Consider the following 17,575-nt stretch of genomic DNA (forward strand, 5'->3'; position numbering starts at 1 on the left):
GTTCAGTGTGACTCTGGGTGGGTAGAGTGGAATAACTATTGTTAAAAGGACAAAAAAATAGCCACATTTGAGAAAGTAGTAAGGATTTTTATTGTCAAAACGAGATCATAATAGAAGACACAAATAAATTAATTGTTCTCATAATTTTAGACTCCAGGGCCTCTCTATGGAAAGGCCAGCTTCTTATACAGACAAGGTACTATCCAAAACAAAAAGCAGGTATTTGAGACAGTGTTCAAGACAACAAGTGAACTTGTACACAGTGAAGAGAAATAAAAAGGTGGCTTCTGTATTTCCCTCCCTCAGTAAGGTTATGTGTTGCATAAAGGGATGAGGCTCATTTTGGTGAAAAATGCTTTCATACAGAAAATTTTGAATTGAGTGACCTCCCCGCACAGGCGTTCCAGGCCCTGACCTGAACAAGGAAATCAAAGTAAGTTAACACCACTGGCTTCACATGAACCTCAAGACTATAATCTAACGGTATCTACCATCTCCTTTACTTTAAAAAAGTTTAATGTCCATTTACCTATACCAAATCAGTAGACTTAATTTTCTCTCTTAGGAAGTTTTTAACCAAATTACAGCTAAATTAATCTCACTTTAAAGTGCAAGAAAGGCTCTGCTAGAGTAGTGTTTGTTCTGTGGCATAGAAAGAGGAGCATGCCTCCTCCGGCACTGGCCTAAGAGGCCCCACATGAAGAACTAGCTGCAAGACAGTGATCCATTAGGTCTGCCAAAAAGCAGGGGGACTCAAGGTTCAGCCTAGAAAGAGGGGTCCCTGCCAAGTCTGGCTTTTACCTGTACCCAGGTCCCAAACAAACCTTGGGTCCCCTAACTGATAAGGCTGGAGCACAGCACCAGTCATCAACAGGGCCAAAGTCGTCTTAGCGAGTCAGTGAGCACCTCTAAGCCATGATTTGTCAATGCTCACATGGATAGTGGTAAAGGAATAAAGAAGCCTGGGTTTTGGAACAGTACAAACATTCTTTACCTAGTAAGCAGTGATCAAAGTTCTTACCTAGGGTAAATGATGAAAAAAATAGGTAATGAGGTCCCCATACACCCGTGCTGAGAATATTAGTCTAACTTTAAAGCAGTACAAAATGGCTTCTTCCACACAACAAGGGCAAGCTTTATACTAATGTTTCTCAAAAACCAATTACATCTCCAGCTCTAGCCTCAATTTAATAGGTTTTTTACTTTACTTTATTTATTTATTTATTGATGGCGTCTCGTTCTGTCGCCCAGGCTGGAGTGTAATGGCATGATCTCAGCTCGGTACAACATCTGCTTCCTGGGTTCAGGCGATTCTCCTGCCTCAGCCTCCCAAGTAGCTGGGACTACAGGCGCCCACCACCACGCCCAGCTAATTTTTGTATTTTTAGTAGAGACGGGGTTTCACCATGTTGGCCAGGCTGGTCTTGAACTCCTGACCTCAGGTATCCACCTACCTTGGCCTCCCAAAGTGCTGGGATTACAGGCGTGAGCCACCACGCCCAGCTGATTAAGTTTTTAAATATACCTTTCCTATGTCAAAGCCAAGGTAAAAGGGGAGTGGGATGCAAGAAACCACCTTTACCAGAATCCCTGGAAAGAGGGCTCTAGAAGCCAGTGGGTGTGAGCACATTCAGGTCACGGGGTTTGAGGTTATGGGCCCGTGGTGGCTGTTTCTTTCCTTCCATCACTGGGATGTCCATCTTGGGGGGCTTCAAGGCTGCTGGATCTTCAGCCATTCGGTTGGCCTGGGCACGTATCAGTTCCAATGGAGAGGGCTTCTGGGCTCCTCGGTAGGCCTGGGTGGCAAAACTTCCTACAAAAGTGAACCAGAGTGCAAATGATTTCAAAACCAGTAAACAGCTCCCGGTATACAATATGGTAAGATGTCTGCCATGCTGCTCTCTTTTTTGAAGGTGCTGCCTTACCAGAATCGTACTTCTGAAGGGATCTCGGTCCAAAGAGGCTCCACTTATCTGACAAGTTTCTGTCCTTATCCCCACTTCCAGAGTCCATGGTGCTAGGATTTGGGCCAGGTAAGGCTGTGGAAGAACCAGAAGTGAACCAGCCCCTGGGAAAGAAAGAACAAAACATATCCTAAAATACCTCTTCCTTCGCCCCTAGAAATGTCTCACACCAAAAGAACAGGGAACTATCCCTTCTCCCTCTGAAACCACAGGCTTAAATACAACCTCATCTGCCACACTAGCTTTCCTGAAGCACGCAGGAACTCGGAAGGGTCACAGGAAGGGCTCACCTGGGCCTCTGCTTAGGTGAAGAGTGCGGAGTGGTGCTTGGGGTGGACTGGGCTGATGCAGGCTGCCTCTCTTCTTTTGTTACCTCTCCACTCTGTAACTTTAGTTTCTGCTCAGATGGGTAAGAAGAGAGACTTTTTAAAAATGAAAGCAAATTCCAAACAGATAAGTCTAGGCATAAAAAATTTGGTTCGCATTCTAACTTTAGGCAGAAGACATCTACAGGTGGAATGATTTCGGATGATCTAACAGGTAGTCCTTTGTTTTTGCCATACTAGATGGAACTCCATCTCCTTAAAAAATGTGTTCATTCTACACTATATCATGAACATCCCTGTACTTAAAGCTTTACACTACAACTTTTACTTTCAGAAACGTGAAGTAATTTCCCCACATTCCCCCAGACAGTAAAATGGAAGAGCCAGAACGCTAGCTGCCAGCCTTCTTGGCCTTTTAAGCAGGGCTTAAGCTCTTGTCTCGCTGCTGCTCCTACCATGTACAAAGCCCTGCCCATCCTCAGTCTCTCCAAGCCAATACTCAGGCATGCTGCTTCTCTCCAGCTAAATGCTTCCTCTGAGGAGCCTGTTCCATTCTCTCCTCCTTCTCTCCCATAGTCAGCCACTCTGGGTTCCCTCAGCACCGTGAGCATTCCTCTGACTCGCAGTCTAGTGGGGAGAGACAGGTCTACATCTCAGCTCTTCTAGAGCAAGGTTCCCATGCTGTTTCCTCCCTCCAGGCCTGCCACGCCACTGCTTAACCCAAGCTGCACACCAAACAATGATCACGTTTGAATTTTCTCAAACGCTCAACAGATCCATTCATGTAAGTTGACAATCTGTTACAAGATGTAAGTTACAGCTAATATTTCAGCCATCCTCATGTTCTACTCCTATGGGCAAGACACAGAAAGTGGGTCAACCAAAGTCAATCCTACCATTATATAAGGTGAATTGCTCAAATAGAATTCTCACTGACCTATCCTGGAAAGTTCTCAGTTAAGGGTCAAAGGCTGCCGGTGCCCCTCTCTGGAAGCTTCTGTCTTGTTTGAAAGCTTAAACTGGCCACCAGCCCAAACCTGATTTCCTATAGCAGTTTTTAAACCTAGCCTGCAAAAGAATCATCTGGAATGCTCATTACAAAATGCAAACAGGGCCGGGTGCGGTGGCTCATACATGTAATCCCAGCACTTTGGGAGGCCAAGGCAGGTGGATCACATGAAGTCAGGAGTTCAAGACCAGCCTGGCCAACATGGTGAAATCCCATCTCTACTAAAAATCAGCTGGGCATGGTGGCGCATGCCTGTAAATCCTAGCTATTTGGGAGGCTGAGTTGGGAGGATCACTTGAACCCGGGAGGCAGAGGTTGCAGTGAGCCGAGATCACAACACTGTACTCCAGCCTGGGTGACTGCAAACAGGCCACAGTTTTATATCCACAGTTTTATATCCCCACCCACAGGCCACCAGATCCGGGTTATTCCTCGTTATGTATAATGTATACCATGATTCTTTCCTGCGTCGTGTGCTCTCCTCACCTTGCCCTCATCATACCCTGTTCAGAACTCTTAAAATAAAGCTTGGAACAAGCCTGGATTCTGACCCCCCCTTGCCTAAAGAAGACAGCCCAAGTTTCTTAACTGTAATTGTGTCTCTTCACAATCTGCCCCTGACTTCCATATGAGCCCCTTCAGGAGCCAGATTTCCAGGCTGCTTTGGAATGAGGAGGAAGAAGCCAACAGGAAGTAAGGCATCAGGAGACTTGGGTTCGGGTACTATGACTGGCTGAATAGATGGCCTCGAACCTCAATCTCCTCATTTACAAAATATGGAGAAGAGCATCTGTCCCAAAAGGTGATTGTGAGGATGAAATGAATGCAAGTGCTTCACAATCATAAAACACTATCCAGTATGAAGCGGTCTTCACTGAAAGAAAGTCATTTGAAACTATTCATTCAAATACTTGGCTATCACTAAATTAACCCTTACCAAAATTCTTCACTTATAGAAATGAAATAGCAAAAACATTCCAATTCCACATTTGATTTTAACTTGTTCCTTTCCAGTTAAGCTGTTACCTCTGTTGAGGCTGCCCAGTTCTCCCCAAGATACTCCACATTTGCTTTATGATTCATAAAGTACTCCTATGTATATGTAAGCTGAGGCTCTCACTTGATTCTGCTAACCAGAAGTAGCAAAACAGACACCCCACTGTATAGGTGGATAAGCAAAAACTACGAGGCTAAGAGCTCGGGAGCGAGACTAACTCCACAGCCCCCAACTAACTGAGCTGGTAACTTCAAAACCACAGCCACATTTCAAGCCATGAACACTGAAGGTTTTGTTTTTTCAAAGTTCCTAAGAGCTTACGTGGAGTGCTTCGGCCACTCGAAGGTACTTGGTCTCCTCGGTGGTGAGGCCCTTGTGGGGTGTGTAGCCAGCATCTCTCAGCCCTGCCTGTCGCTCAAAATGCTGAATGCTTTCCTGGGTCTGTTCTGGGAACAGAGGAGATGACAGTCATGCCCATTCCCCTCTCCCATCACAAAATAAGGAGGACAACATGGATATCTACTATTCTCCCCAGAAGCAAGAGACCACACTGACCATTCAAAGAAGAGGAGACTTTCCCCAGAGAGGCACCACAGCAGTAATTCTGAACCTCACACAAAGGCTCTCTAGCCAGAAGGAAGCCTTCCCTCACACCAAGCTGAAGAGGTTATTCCTAAAGGGACAGCTGAAGAACCTTGAGGACAATACTCCCACCCTCCTCTTAGTTGTACATGGTGACATTTTCTTTGTATTTAGAAATGCAACATGGGGCTGGATGCAGTAGCTCACACCTGTAATCCCAGCACTTTGGGAGGTCAAGGCGGGCGGATCAAGAGGTCAGGACATCCAGACCATCCTGGCTAACAAGGTGAAACCCCATCTCTACTAAAAATACAAAAATTAGCTGGGTGTGGTGGCAGGCGCCTGTAGTCCCAGCTACTCGGGAGTCTGAGGCAGGAGAATGGCGTGAACCCGGGAGGCGGAGCTTGCAGTGAGTCGAGATCGTGCCACTGCACTCCAGCCTGGGCGACAGAGCAAGACTCCATCTCAAAAAAAAAAAAAAAGTTACATTGTGCTAAAAGAACAATGAATAAGTTTTGTAACACTGCTAGAACACATTCTCAAGCTTGTAAAATAAAAGTAGTGTTGCTGATTCAACAGATGTGAATAAGAAAATCAAAGTATAGGTGGTGCGTGATGGCTCACACCTGTAATCCCAGCACTTTGGTTGGCCTAGGCGGGCAGATCACGAGGTCAGGAGTTTGAGACCATCCTGCCCAACAGAGTGAAACCCCATCTCTACTAAAAATACAGAAATTAGCCAGGCGTGGTGGTGGGCGCCTGTAGTCCCAGCTACTCCAGAGGCTGAGGTGGGAGAATTGCTTGAACCTGGGAGGCGAAGGTTGTGGTGAGCTGAGACCACAGCATTGCACTCCAGCCTGGGTGACAGAGTGAGACTCTGTCTCAAAACAAAAAAAAAAAAGAAGAGAAACCAAAGTAAGAGTCTGGACCTTTGGTTCTTGGTGAATTCACTAGGAATTGCCCAGGACAAACTGATGCCCTCCTGGAGAAGATAAACAAGGGCTTCTGACTTCAAAAATGAGCCAACCAAGGAGAACCTCTATGTACCTTACCCTGGTAGGGGCACAACTGCTGACAAACAGAGCCATGTATCTAATTGTTAACTTCCCACAGCAACCTGTACAGCCCTCCAGAATGAAGAAGTTTAGTTAGCTTGTTATAAGGTTAAAAAAAAATCCAAGTTCTCATATCAGGTTTCATTAGGATGACCAATCATACATTCTTAAGACTAAAGACACTTGGACCTGGTCCTCTTCCTGGTAGACCAACTTTGAGCTGTTTAAAAAAAAAAAAACAAAAAAAAAAACAAAAACTGGGGTAAGTGGGAAATGCCCGGATGTTTCCCCTTCTCCAGCAGAGCTTGAAACAGTAACAGCAGCAGCTGCCGCCACTGAGCACTGGGCCTTCTGATCCTCACCTCAACCTGCCAGTGAAATTCCCCATTTTAGAGCGGGGCAGTCTCTGTAGTTAAGTAGCTTGCCCAAGGCCACAGTGACAGAGCTGGGAACATGAGATCATATCAACAAAGCAGCAGGAATGCACCTAAATCAGATAAGATGCTTAACATTTGGCAAATCTTCCACTTAATAAATGGAGCTTCAATACTGACATGATTCAGCAGCCAAACTGACATTTTTTAGGATAAGGTAAGGCGAGCGTGTTGCAGTATCATCTCCAATCAGCTTGTAGGAAGCCTCAACTCTTCCCTGCCCCTATGGCACTCTACTCTGAGGGTGAAGAGTGCTTACTTGTGATCAGAGAATTCATGATGACATGGGTAGCTTTAGCCTTCACCACTGGGACCTTGTCCACACTGTCAATGGCTGATGACAGGGTCATGGCAGGGGAGGGTAGACTGGCCTCTCCTTCCTCCACCTGTTCAAGAGAGGTACAGTACAGAAGCACTTAGGCAGGGCAGGGGAGTCACACACCTAAACTTACTCCTTTGGGGAGGAAGTTACTGAAATAACATTAATCTGGTAAGTGAGGAAATCATTGAAGGGAGGAGTTGGTCATCTCCACCCAGCTAGATAGGTATTATCCATAGAGACAACAAAGAAAGACATTAGGTGAATAGTTTACATTTATAAAGGTGGGAAAGCCAGAATTTGAAGCTCTGACGTCTACTACCTTCCCAGACTATGATCTTCCGATATACTATAGTACTATGCCCTAAGAATGCAGAAGAAATGCTTATTACGAAGCACTGACCACATCCCAGGCACTATGCTAGATCTTAATTGATGAGAGCACTGGCTAAGTGGTTCTGACCCTGTGCCAGCCATTAGAACAGACTGCCGGGCTCCACCTCAGAGTTTGATTCAGTAGGTCCCTGTTAGTCTGGGGTGGAGTTCAAGAATTTCTTTCTAATAAATTCCCAGGTGTTACTGATGCTGCCGGTCCCAAGACCACACCTTGAGGACCACTGCTCCCAAGGTTCAAGTAATGGTCTTTTGAAACAAACAAAAAAAATCTACTTAGCTCCTCATTTTCAACCTGCAAGAGCTGGCAGCCTCCACCTTCTGCAATCGAAACACCTGATACCTTGCTCAGGCCTAGCAGGGAGGAGAGAACAAGACTTATTCTTTATTCTGTGCTTGTCTGGAAGAACTGAGAAGAAAGTAAGATGGTTGAAAAGGGGGGACAGATAAAAAGTAATGAAAAATGTTGTATCCTTACTACAAAACAGAATTTATACCTTTAAGCTGTGACCTTGAGTAAAACTTGAGCCTGTTTCCTTACTGGGAAGACGGTTGATTCCTAACATGGGGAGAGTTAGGGCAAATGAATAGGATCGCATGCAATGAGTCAAGCGGAGCTCTCCTTTGGAGCAGCTGTTCCAAGCCATCAGCTGTTCCAGCTGAGGCCCAGAAGAAATCTGGAAGCCCGCTCATCCCTTGCCTTGTGGAGCCATCAGCAGGGTGTGTGGCCTGGCAAGCACCACCAGAAGCCCTGCTCACCTCCTGCTCTGGACCCTAAAGCCCATTGCTCTGACATCACAGGCAAGCTGCAGCAGGCCTTTTCTCCCTGCACTTTTGCTACTTGTTACATGGAATACTCTCCCTGAACAACTGACTGGGTCATATTTCAGTAGATAATTGATAGAGGGAATATCCCCCAGAGCTGTAGGGGCACTTTCTTAGAAAGGAGCTGTCTGCCCTGAAAGTCTGTTGGAGGCGGGGGGAAAAACACTCCTTAGAAATTATCAAATATGGCTCTACTAAGAGAAAGTTAAGCAGGGAGCCTGCAGTCATAATATCAGCTACACAGCTAATACACAATGTGCCAACCCTTTACATCCCCTGACTGAATCCCCACAACACCTCTATGACATAAGGTATTCCCAACTCTCAGAGAGAGACACTGGGGCTCAGGGTAAAGTTGTGTGCCCAAGGTCTTGCTAGGGCAGACCACCTGGGACTCACACCCAGGCCTATTTCAGTGGACCCTTACTGTGTACTGCCTGTCAGGCCCTGAGCTACCATGTGGCTCAAAGTTCAGAGAAACTGTAGCTACAGGTTAAACAGCCTTACGTGAACTTGGCGGGCCTACTTTATTCAGGCAACAGTCTAGCCTTTCTTGTATTCTTGGTGGCTGGAGAGTCAGAGGGGAGAGAGTCCCTGAGGTCGGGAAGCAGAGGCTCCAATAATGCGAACCTACGAAACTAGACTGCACGAAGGACTGTGAGGTATGTTCGGAAGGGCCTTAGGAAGGAGGCAGTTCTTACAGAGGATGGCCATGGGCAAAGGCAGCTGAGGCTGGAGGTACAGCATGAGGACAGGTACAGCATGTGTTCAAGAAAGGGCCAATTTTTTTCCCCAATCACAAAATGAGCAGTTTTTGGGAATCTATGCCAGGCCATCGGCTGGATCCTGCAGATAAGAGTACAAACCTAGACATGGCCCCTGTCCTCAGGAAGCTAATGGAGGGCGAGAAAGCAATGCAGGGATGACGACGGGGACCATGGTACCGTGGGGAGCTCAGAGGGAGAGGTGATGGCCTTATCAGGAGGACGGAGATGTCAGGAAAACTGTCACAGAAGAGACTTTTGAGCTAAGACTTAAAGGATACCAGTTTTCAGGCAAATGGAGTGGGAGAAAAGGTGAGAGGACAGGATGTGGATGGCAAACATCCTAAACAATCAGGGCAGTGTGAGCCAAAAACTGACAGGCAGAAAATACGCTGCTAAGTGCAAGAATTTTAGGTAACTTGCACAGTTCAAGCACTGGGTAGGGGAGCTGGAGAGATGCAGGCAGGACTTAGATCACATGGACTGTGGATCATGCTGAGCTTGGATTTAGCTCTGTGGGGAATATGAAGAGTCTCAGGAGCAGACAAGGCCATTCTAGTTTTGAATTAAAAAGAAAAAAAAAAGGAGGGAGATTTAAAAAACCATCTATTGGGTACACTGTACACTATTCGGGTGACGGGTGCACTAAAAGCCCAGACTTCACCACTATACAATTCATCCATGCGAACAACACCTCGGGTAACCCTAAAGCTACTGATTTTTTTTTTAACAAAATAAATAAAATCTTAAAAAAAAAAAAAAGACAGCTATAACTGAGGCACAGAAAACACATACAGGGAGTGGTTGCTGCCCAGTCCCATGGGCACAGGGAGCCACTGAAGGCTTCTGGAGCAGAGGAAGGACAAAGGGGTTGCGTATGCCAGAAATGGCCAGCAGGGTCAGATACCTTGGCGAGGTGCTGATACTTGCGCTCTGGAATCACTGGCTTCCAAGGGACGCTGCCCATGTCCGATGGAGGAGGAGTCATGGGCGCAGGGTCCTCGAGGGTATCATCATAGCTGACTGCCCGGCGGTATATCCCGATGGGCAGGGACATCTTGCCTAGAGGCGCACTAGCCTCAAGAGCTAAGAACAGAGACACCTGTCAAGACAGGTTCAGCAACTGGACATACTAGCAGCTTTAAATTAATCTACAGGAAGGAAAGCTCTGAAATACTCTTGTTCTTGAACAGAGCAAAATAGCTTGTTTTGGAGTAGCTAATCCCATCCAGGAAAGGCAGTGGTACCAATCCCTTCCTCTATGCCTGACACCTTGGGTGGTCCACTTAACCCACTCAGCCGTCCTAATCCTTTTTTTTTATTATTTGTTTAGAGACACAGTCTATGTTGCCCAGGCTGGAGTGCAGCGGCACGATCACGGCTCACTGCAGGCTCAACCTCCTGGGCTCAAGTGCCTCAGCCTAGCGAGTAGTTGGGATTCTAGGCATGTGCCACCATGTCCAGCTAATTTTCATGGATCAGGAAACCTGAAGTTCCATTTAAAGGTACTTGACCACAACTTCAAAGTACAGTTTGGAATCCAATCCCAACCAAACCTATCTGATTTCAAAGCTGTGTCCTTTATCCCACAGAAGCCACCCCCTACTGCAATACTAAGGCTCTCAGTTCGTGCAAGACTGAGGATATGAAATGACCGAGGATACGAAGTTCTCATTCCCATTTCATAGATGAGGAAACTAAGGCCTAGGGGTAAAGTGACCTTCCCAAGTTCATTCAGAAAATGGCTACCTGGGGCTCAGCCAAGGTCTGTGAATCCTCTACCTTCCTTTCCTCACCAAAGAAAACACCAGCACTAACAGAAATGTTTGTGGCATCACTGTTCTGTATGATTTATTTAAACAGTAGAGTCACTTTCCATCACAGAAATTATTGACAACCACTCTCACAAATCACCAGCTGATCCTGCCATTCCTGTCCACTGGAACTGACGCCCAGCATGTCGGGTTGTGATGCAGCCACCCCATTCAAGGGCACTCTCAGCTGTGCCAGACCAGGGAGCCAAGTTCATTGTGTTTCGTTTGCTAATCCTTGCATATCAGAACTAATGTCCAGAACCTACCTGAAAGGTAACATTTTCCTGTGGCTAAAATCATATAATAACACTCTCTAAGACATCAACCTGCCTGGCAATAAGTCCAAAACCACAAAAGGTTTCATTTAAACGGCAAGGGGACCAAGCAGCTATCATTATTATTACTATTGCTATTAGTAATAATTAACAAAACCATAGAAATAAAAAGAGGATTAGAGGTTGCCAGGGAGTGGGTGGGGGGAGTGAGGATACGACTGCTAATGGTACGAGGTTTTCCTTTGGAGGTTATGAAAACGTACTGCAGTTTGGATGGGTGTGGTGGCTCACACCTGTAATCCCAGCACTTTGGGAGGCTGATGTGGGTGGATCACCTGAGGTCAGGCGTTCCGGCCTAGCCAACATGGTGAAATCCCATCTCTACTCAAAATACAAAAATTAGCCAGGCGTGGTGGTACGTGCCTGTAGTCCCAGCTACTTGGGAGACTGAGGCAGGAGAATTGCTTGAACCCAGGAGGCGGAGGTTGCAGAGAGCCAAGATCGTGCCACTGCATTCCAACCTAGGCAACAGAGCGAGATTCCATCTCAAAAAAAAAAAGAAAAGAAAAGAAAATGTGCTGCAATTGATCGTAGTGTTGTTTGCACAACCCTGTGAATATACTAAAAATCACGACATTGTTCACTTTCAGTGGGTGAATTTTATGATATGTGCATTACATCTCAAACACACACACAAGCAAATAATAATTACTAAGTCTTCCTCCTTGCTAGACAATTACATCCCTCATCTTATCTAATCCTCATGAAGCAGATATTCTTCCCATTTTCAAATTTTCCATTTTCACAATCAACTTGCCCAATATCACCTAGCTTGAAAGAGTGTGCTGGGAACTGGAACACAGACCTGAGCCGGTGCACACACTCTGCATGCAACACACTACAAAGCATTCACTGAATGGGCACAATCCTATGGCTCGCGACGGCTACACGGAGTTTGTGGTAATCACAGCAACAATGAAAGACAAACTAAAACGGAGCTGATGATGTTAAGACTAGAGATGGATCTATATTGGGGAATACGGGAGACTTGGGGAGCAATTTCAAAAACATCTTAAAGACTCCCACTGAACAGCCATCCTAAAACAAATAAAGTCAGCTAGTATTTACTGGAAAATATGTTCATATAAAGACAGACCAAATGCATTCTGGGCAGTAAATACATATTTATCACTGATTTTTAACTCCTGTTTTTACATATTTTGTTTAATCTTCACAACCCCGAGAGATAGGAACCATCATCTTTCTTCATCATCATACTTTACCGAGAATCAGAAATTAAGCGATTCAGATGTAATTAAAAATCACTTTCCTTTCTCATAAAACAATTCAAGTAGTCATCAATGGTGTCAATAACCCAGAACTTGACTCATTAAGGGTTGCTGTGAGCATTTTCATGATTAAGTTCAATCTGCCATTTAAGCAGGCTGGTGCCTTTTTACCAAGACTTCCATCCCACCTCCCCATCACCCCCAAAAAGGTGAGTTTAATCACTTTGGTACATACTACAAGAACTGCACAACTTATTCTGAATTATTATTTGATAACTAGGAAAGTAACAAACTTGTCATAATACCCTTAAATGAAGTGACTATTCTCTTTAAGTTAAAGTTTCATACTATGGCTGAGCGGCTAATAAAATATTTAAATGATGCCAATCTAAGGCTAGGCGTGGTGGCTCACACCTGTAATCCCAGCACTTTGGGAGGCCAAGGTGGAAGGATCACCTGAGGTCAGGAGTTTGAGACCAGCCTGGCCAACATGGAGAAACCCTGTCTCTATTAAAAATACAAAAATTAGCCGGGCGTGGTGGCAGGCAGCTGTAATCCCAGCTACTCGAGGCTGAGGCAGGAGAATCACTTGAGCCCAGGAGGCGGAGGTTGCAGTGAGCTGAGATCACACCACTGTATTCTAGCCTGGGCAGCAGAGTGAGACTCAAAAATAAAATAAAACTGGCTGGGCGTGGTGGCTCACACCTGTAATCCCAACACTTTGGGAGGCCGAGGCAGGCAGATCACAAGGTCAGGAGTTCCGCCGGGCACGGTGGCTCACGCCTGTAATCCCATTACCTTGGGAGGCCGAGGCGGGCGGATCACAAGGTCAAGAAATCGAGACCATCCTGGCTAACACGGTGAAACCTCGTCTCTACTAAAAATACAAAAAATTAGCTGGGCATGGTGGTGGGCGCCTGTAGTCCCAGCTACTCGGGAGGCTGAGGCAGGAGAATGGTGTGAACCCGGGAGGCGGAGCTTGCAGTGAGCTGAGATCGCGCCACTGCACTCCAGCCTGGGCGACAGAGCAAGACTCTGTCTCAAAAAAAAAAAAAAAAAAAAAGGTCAGGAGTTCCAGACCAGCCTGGCCAATATGGTGAAACCCCGTCTCTACAAAAAATACAAAAATTAGCTGGGTGTGGTGGCGGGCACCTGTAATCCCAGCTACTGGGGAGGCTGAGGCAGGAGAATGGCTTGAACCCAGGAAGCGGAGGTAGCAGTGAGCCGAGATTGTGCCGCTGCACTCCAGCCTGGGCAACAGAGCAAGACTCCATCTCAAAAAAATAAAATAAAATAAAATAAGCCAATCTAGTAAATCTAAATACTCGCTTGGTAGCAGAGATTAACCATTAATATATAGTTCCGATAAAATGGTTTCTGTCTAGCTTAAAACATTAATAAGGGCAAAACATGATTTTACCAAAAAGAATTAAGTTTACCAGGCACTTCTGGTTGTCTTGAAGCCATTGAAAGACTGGGATCCAGGTGCTTTTTCTATACAGAATTCCGAGCTGAGTCCCTGCCACCTAATAAAATAACAAAGGGCATTTTCTTATGGTGAGCAGCACCAATGCTGTTCTTCTGGCAGGCACACAGAATTGAACGGCTTGTTTACAAGGTTGAAACACACATGCAAGAGCCAGTGGGTGACAAACATGCCAATGAAAAAAGAAGGATAAAGTCAAACGTCTCACCACACCTGTGGCTGATCTTAACACCTGTGAGATGACAGAGCTAAGATGCCATACATGGTGAAAAAGTCACCTTACCACAGTGAAATGATGTGATGACTAAGCGGACAGACAGATGTTAATGAGGAACATGGTCCAGCTGCTGCAAAGTAGCAAAGCTTCCCAGGAAGAGTCCATCCAGAGGTTCTAATAACAACAAACAGCCAGCATTGGAACAGCCCGTCAGAGTCTGCCAAACACTTGTTTATTCCCCACAACAACCTTGCTCATTTCATTTTCTTAACTCACAGCAAGCGGCTAGATACTACAGTAGGGAAATTTGTTCTTTATAGCTAACACTATAAACTATTTACAGCGTTTATCTTGTCTTTTAATCCTTGCAGCAAGATGGCAAAGCAGATATTATTTATCCCAATCCCAATTTTTTTTTTTTTTTTTTTTTGAGACGGAGTCTCACTCTGTCGCCCAGGCTGGAGTGCAGTGGCGCGATCTTGGCTCACTGCAAGCTCCACCTCCCGGGTTCACGCCATTCTCCTGCCTTAGCCTCCCAAGTAGCTGGGACTACAGGCGTCTGCCACCACGCCTGGCTAATTTTTTGTATTTTTAGTAGAGATGGGGTTTCACCGCACTAGCCAGGATGGTCTTGATCTCCTGACCTTGCGATCCGCCCACCTCGGCCTCCCAAAGTGCTAGGATTACAAGCGTGAGCCACCGCGCCCGACCCCAGTTTTTTTTTTAAGCTATCTCTTACAGAAAGGCTATCCCAAATTTAAAGAGAAGGAAACTGGCCGGGTGCGGTGGCTCACGCCTGTAATCCCAGCATTTTGCGAGACCCAGGCGGGCAGATCACTTGAGGTCAGGAGTTCGAGACTAGCCTGGCCAACATGGTGAAACCCCATCTCTACTAAAAATACAAAAATTAGCCGGGCATGGTGGCGGGCGCCTGTAATCCCAGCTACTCGGGAGGCTGAGGCAGGAGAATAGCTTGAACCCGGGAGGCGGAGGTTGCAGTGAGCCGAGATCGAGCCACTGTACTCCAGCCTGGGCGACGGAGTGAGACTCGGTCTCAAAAATAAAAATTAAAAAAATTAAAAAAATGTTAAAAATAATAATAAAGAGAAGGAAACTAAAAATCAGAGGAGTTAAGTAAATTTGTCCACGGTCACAGATAAGTGGTCCGTGCGCAAGGTAGGTAGTTTCATGCCCAGTTTACAGGGGAGTTAAAACGAGGGCCTGAGAAAGTTACTCTTGTTTTTCAGCTTGCTACACCGTCCCTCTATCCCGATAGGACTCAGACAGAGCAAACAAGTTATTGATAGTTCTTCACTAACGAGCATCGCAAAGGCCGAATTCAGCCATCCTCCCAGTCCAGGGAGCATTCCCGCCCCAGACACGTCCCCTTCCCCTTTCCCTTTCCCTGTGCCCCCACCCCCCAGCTCACCGTCCCTCTGCCTCTCCTTCACAATATACAAGACGGTGCCGCCAGGATACGAAAGGCCGGCTGCTTCACCCACCCCTCCAGGCTAAGATTAGGGCCAGGACCCTAGCCGAAGGCGGGGTGTGGGGAGATGAGGTTGAGGACAAGCCGCGGGGGCTCGGGCTGGGCTGGTCCCACGAAGCGGAGGGGAAGCCCGTACGGGAGCTGCAGGGCATTCCCGGAGAGAAGCCCCATTACGGAGACCCCAGAGAGCGGAGCCAGGGAGGCAAGAGGCGACCCAGCCGAGCTCGAAGCCGGGATGAAGGGTTAAGAGGTGCGGGGAGAGGGGAGTGGCTTGGAGGGGCCCCGAGATCGGGCCTCGCCGGAAGCGCCCCTCCTGATCGCCAGAGAACGCAGCCCCAAGGGAGGGCCCAGGCCCGCCATCTGTTCACCTGTGATCCTGCTGCCGCGGGACTGCCTGCGGCCCGGAGTCCGGCACTAAAAAGGTTCCGAGGGCCCACGTCTCCCGAGAGGCTGTGGCGCAGTCTGGACCCAAGCCATTGTGAGAGCGGCGGCGATTTCGAAGGTCCCCAAGACCCACTAGGTAGCAGTACCACCCAGCGGGCAGGCAGCACTGCAGATAAAGCCTCCGGAGACCGCGGGATCTCGCGCGAGACTTGGCCCAGCGGAGCACAGGGCATGCTGGGAGTTGTTGTCCACGATCGCGAGACCCGCCCCCTCCCCATGCCCTTCGCCGCCCAGCGAGTTGTGGAGCCGCAGCTCCGAGTGTGGAATCCGCCAGCCCCGAGAGGAAACGCCACACTTCACCACCACTTCCTCAGCGCGTGTGCTGTGCCTGGGTCCGTGACAAGCTAAGGGAAGACGGAGGTAGCATAGTAAAATGACACCCACAAACCCAAGCCCTCAAGGCTCAAAAAGGGCTGCCAAGTGCGAGCACTTGTCATCCTGTTTTTCCCACTTCACGGAGGTGAAGCTGAGACTGGGAGAGATGAGAAGTCACTTCGATTAGCAAGCGGTGCAGTGAGCACGGACTGTCTCCCAAAACAGCGGGGTTAGGCAGGGTTCGTACTAGTAGCTGAACCAAAAAAGGGAACCGACCTCACCTGCCTCCCCTAGGGAAGGCGATCCTAATATCATTTCTCTTTTACATAAAGGAGAGTGAGGCTTAGAGGCGCCAGCTGAGGTGTCAGTCACATCCTGAAGGAAGACTTCTCTTATCCCTGAAGGGTTCACAAAGAAGGCGAAGCAACGAAGTTACAGCAGAATTTGCAAAAATCTATCCACGTTTCTACCCCAGTCCAAAGCTCGCCATCAAAACTCATCTCAGGAGAGCTATGATTGGTGGTGCAGGGTGAATGTCACATTTAGATTTCAGCATTTGAGGCTTCCAGCCGTACTGGCAGAACTGAGAGGCCTTGCTCATGCGACTTGAAACTTAAGCGCTGTTTCCAGACCAGGGTGCTTGAGTGCACTAAGAATTAAAGTCTTTGATGAATTCTATAATTAGCTTATCAACAGCACAATTACATTGCAGTATAATTGTGTGTATATGTGTGCGTGCGTGTGTGTGTTAAAGGTGTTCCTTTGTTAATTTGGAGCTTTTAAAATATGCCATATTTTTTAACCTCTGTGGAAGCAAAGCTGGCACCTTGCTCTTTATCCACCACAGGAAGGGATGTATATCACCTCTCAGTCAGAAAAGGAAGAAATAGCACTTTGCACCCTTATGTAGATCATAAGGTGGGATCATCTCATTTATTTCTTAGCCACAAATACATGAAAACTTAAGACTTTCCTGGAAGTTACTATTTGATTAAAACAACTTTTTCTGGCTGGGCACGGTGGTTCAGGCCTGTAATCCCAACACTTTCAGAGGCTGAGGCGTTCGAGACCATCCTGGCCAACACGGCGAAACCCCGTCTCTACTAAAATACAAAAATCAGCCAGGCGTAGTGACAGGTGCCTGTAATCCCAGCTATTCTGGAGACTGAGGCAGGAGAATCTCTTGAACCTGGGAGACGGAGGCTGCAGTCTGCCTTGTCCTAGGTACCCCCAGTGACTGCCAAGGCTTCCACGTGTGTAGCACGAGGAGGAAGAACAGGAGAAACGACCTGAGTACAGCAGTCGGGTTCTTTTGGCTCTCCAGAGGGGTGACGCCATGTACGGCTGGCTGTAGGGTACATGGGTTGAGAGACCGCCTGTGGCTCTCAGGGCCCAGCAGGGCTACCTCTTTCCCTTTATATTGTCTCAACTCTTCACCTCCTTTTAGTTCGCGATTCCTCTGTACCCCTGGCTCTGGGTCCCAGCCCCTATTCCTTCTGATTTGTCCCCCTTTCCCTTTGACTACATATATATGCTCCTCTCCTCCCAGATAGTGATGTTTTAGCTACATCTTATTTC

At 47.2% G+C, this 17,575-nt stretch overlaps 1 protein-coding gene across 15 annotated transcripts, besides 1 other annotated feature; it reads right to left on the reverse strand.

Annotated features, from left to right (window-relative positions):
* Window positions 1–65: 65 nt before the first annotated feature.
* On the reverse strand, window positions 66–15,812 carry KIAA1191. 15 transcript variants are annotated; one of them, NM_020444.5, is made up of 9 exons: window positions 15,607–15,769; window positions 13,816–13,923; window positions 13,486–13,572; window positions 9,576–9,754; window positions 6,627–6,753; window positions 4,618–4,742; window positions 2,255–2,361; window positions 1,926–2,068; window positions 67–1,813 (listed from the first exon to the last, which is right to left on the reverse strand). In NM_020444.5, exons 3-9 carry the CDS (start codon window positions 13,511–13,513, stop codon window positions 1,605–1,607), a joined length of 918 nt encoding a protein of 305 aa, NP_065177.2. In that variant the 5' UTR covers window positions 13,514–13,572; window positions 13,816–13,923; window positions 15,607–15,769; the 3' UTR covers window positions 67–1,604. The 15 variants fall into 15 exon arrangements, 10 of the variants coding, with proteins under 10 accessions (XP_005266003.1, XP_016865140.1, XP_047273357.1 ...); XM_005265946.5 differs by lacking the exon at window positions 13,816–13,923 and having other exon boundaries at window positions 66–1,813; window positions 13,467–13,572; window positions 15,607–15,812; NM_001079685.3 differs by lacking the exon at window positions 13,816–13,923.
* Window positions 15,525–15,844: an enhancer, noted in NCBI's record as "active region_23680". NCBI's record gives its function as "activates an Ori minimal core promoter by ATAC-STARR-seq in GM12878 lymphoblastoid cells {active_cell/tissue: GM12878}" and the evidence as "EXISTENCE:reporter gene assay evidence [ECO:0000049][PMID:35858748]".

The sequence above is a fragment of the Homo sapiens genome, chromosome 5 (genome assembly GCF_000001405.40).
Source record: "Homo sapiens chromosome 5, GRCh38.p14 Primary Assembly".
NCBI classification, from domain to species: domain Eukaryota; kingdom Metazoa; phylum Chordata; class Mammalia; order Primates; family Hominidae; genus Homo; species Homo sapiens.

Coding starts and splice junctions, on each gene's coding strand:
- KIAA1191 (NM_001079685.3), bottom strand. CDS start 13,513: ATGGCTTCAAGACAACCAGAAGTGCCTG. Junction 9,755..13,485: donor AAGACAACCAGAAGTGCCTG/GTAAACTTAATT, acceptor CTCTGTTCTTAG/CTCTTGAGGCTAGTGCGCCT. Junction 6,754..9,575: donor AGTATCAGCACCTCGCCAAG/GTATCTGACCCT, acceptor TCTCTTGAACAG/GTGGAGGAAGGAGAGGCCAG.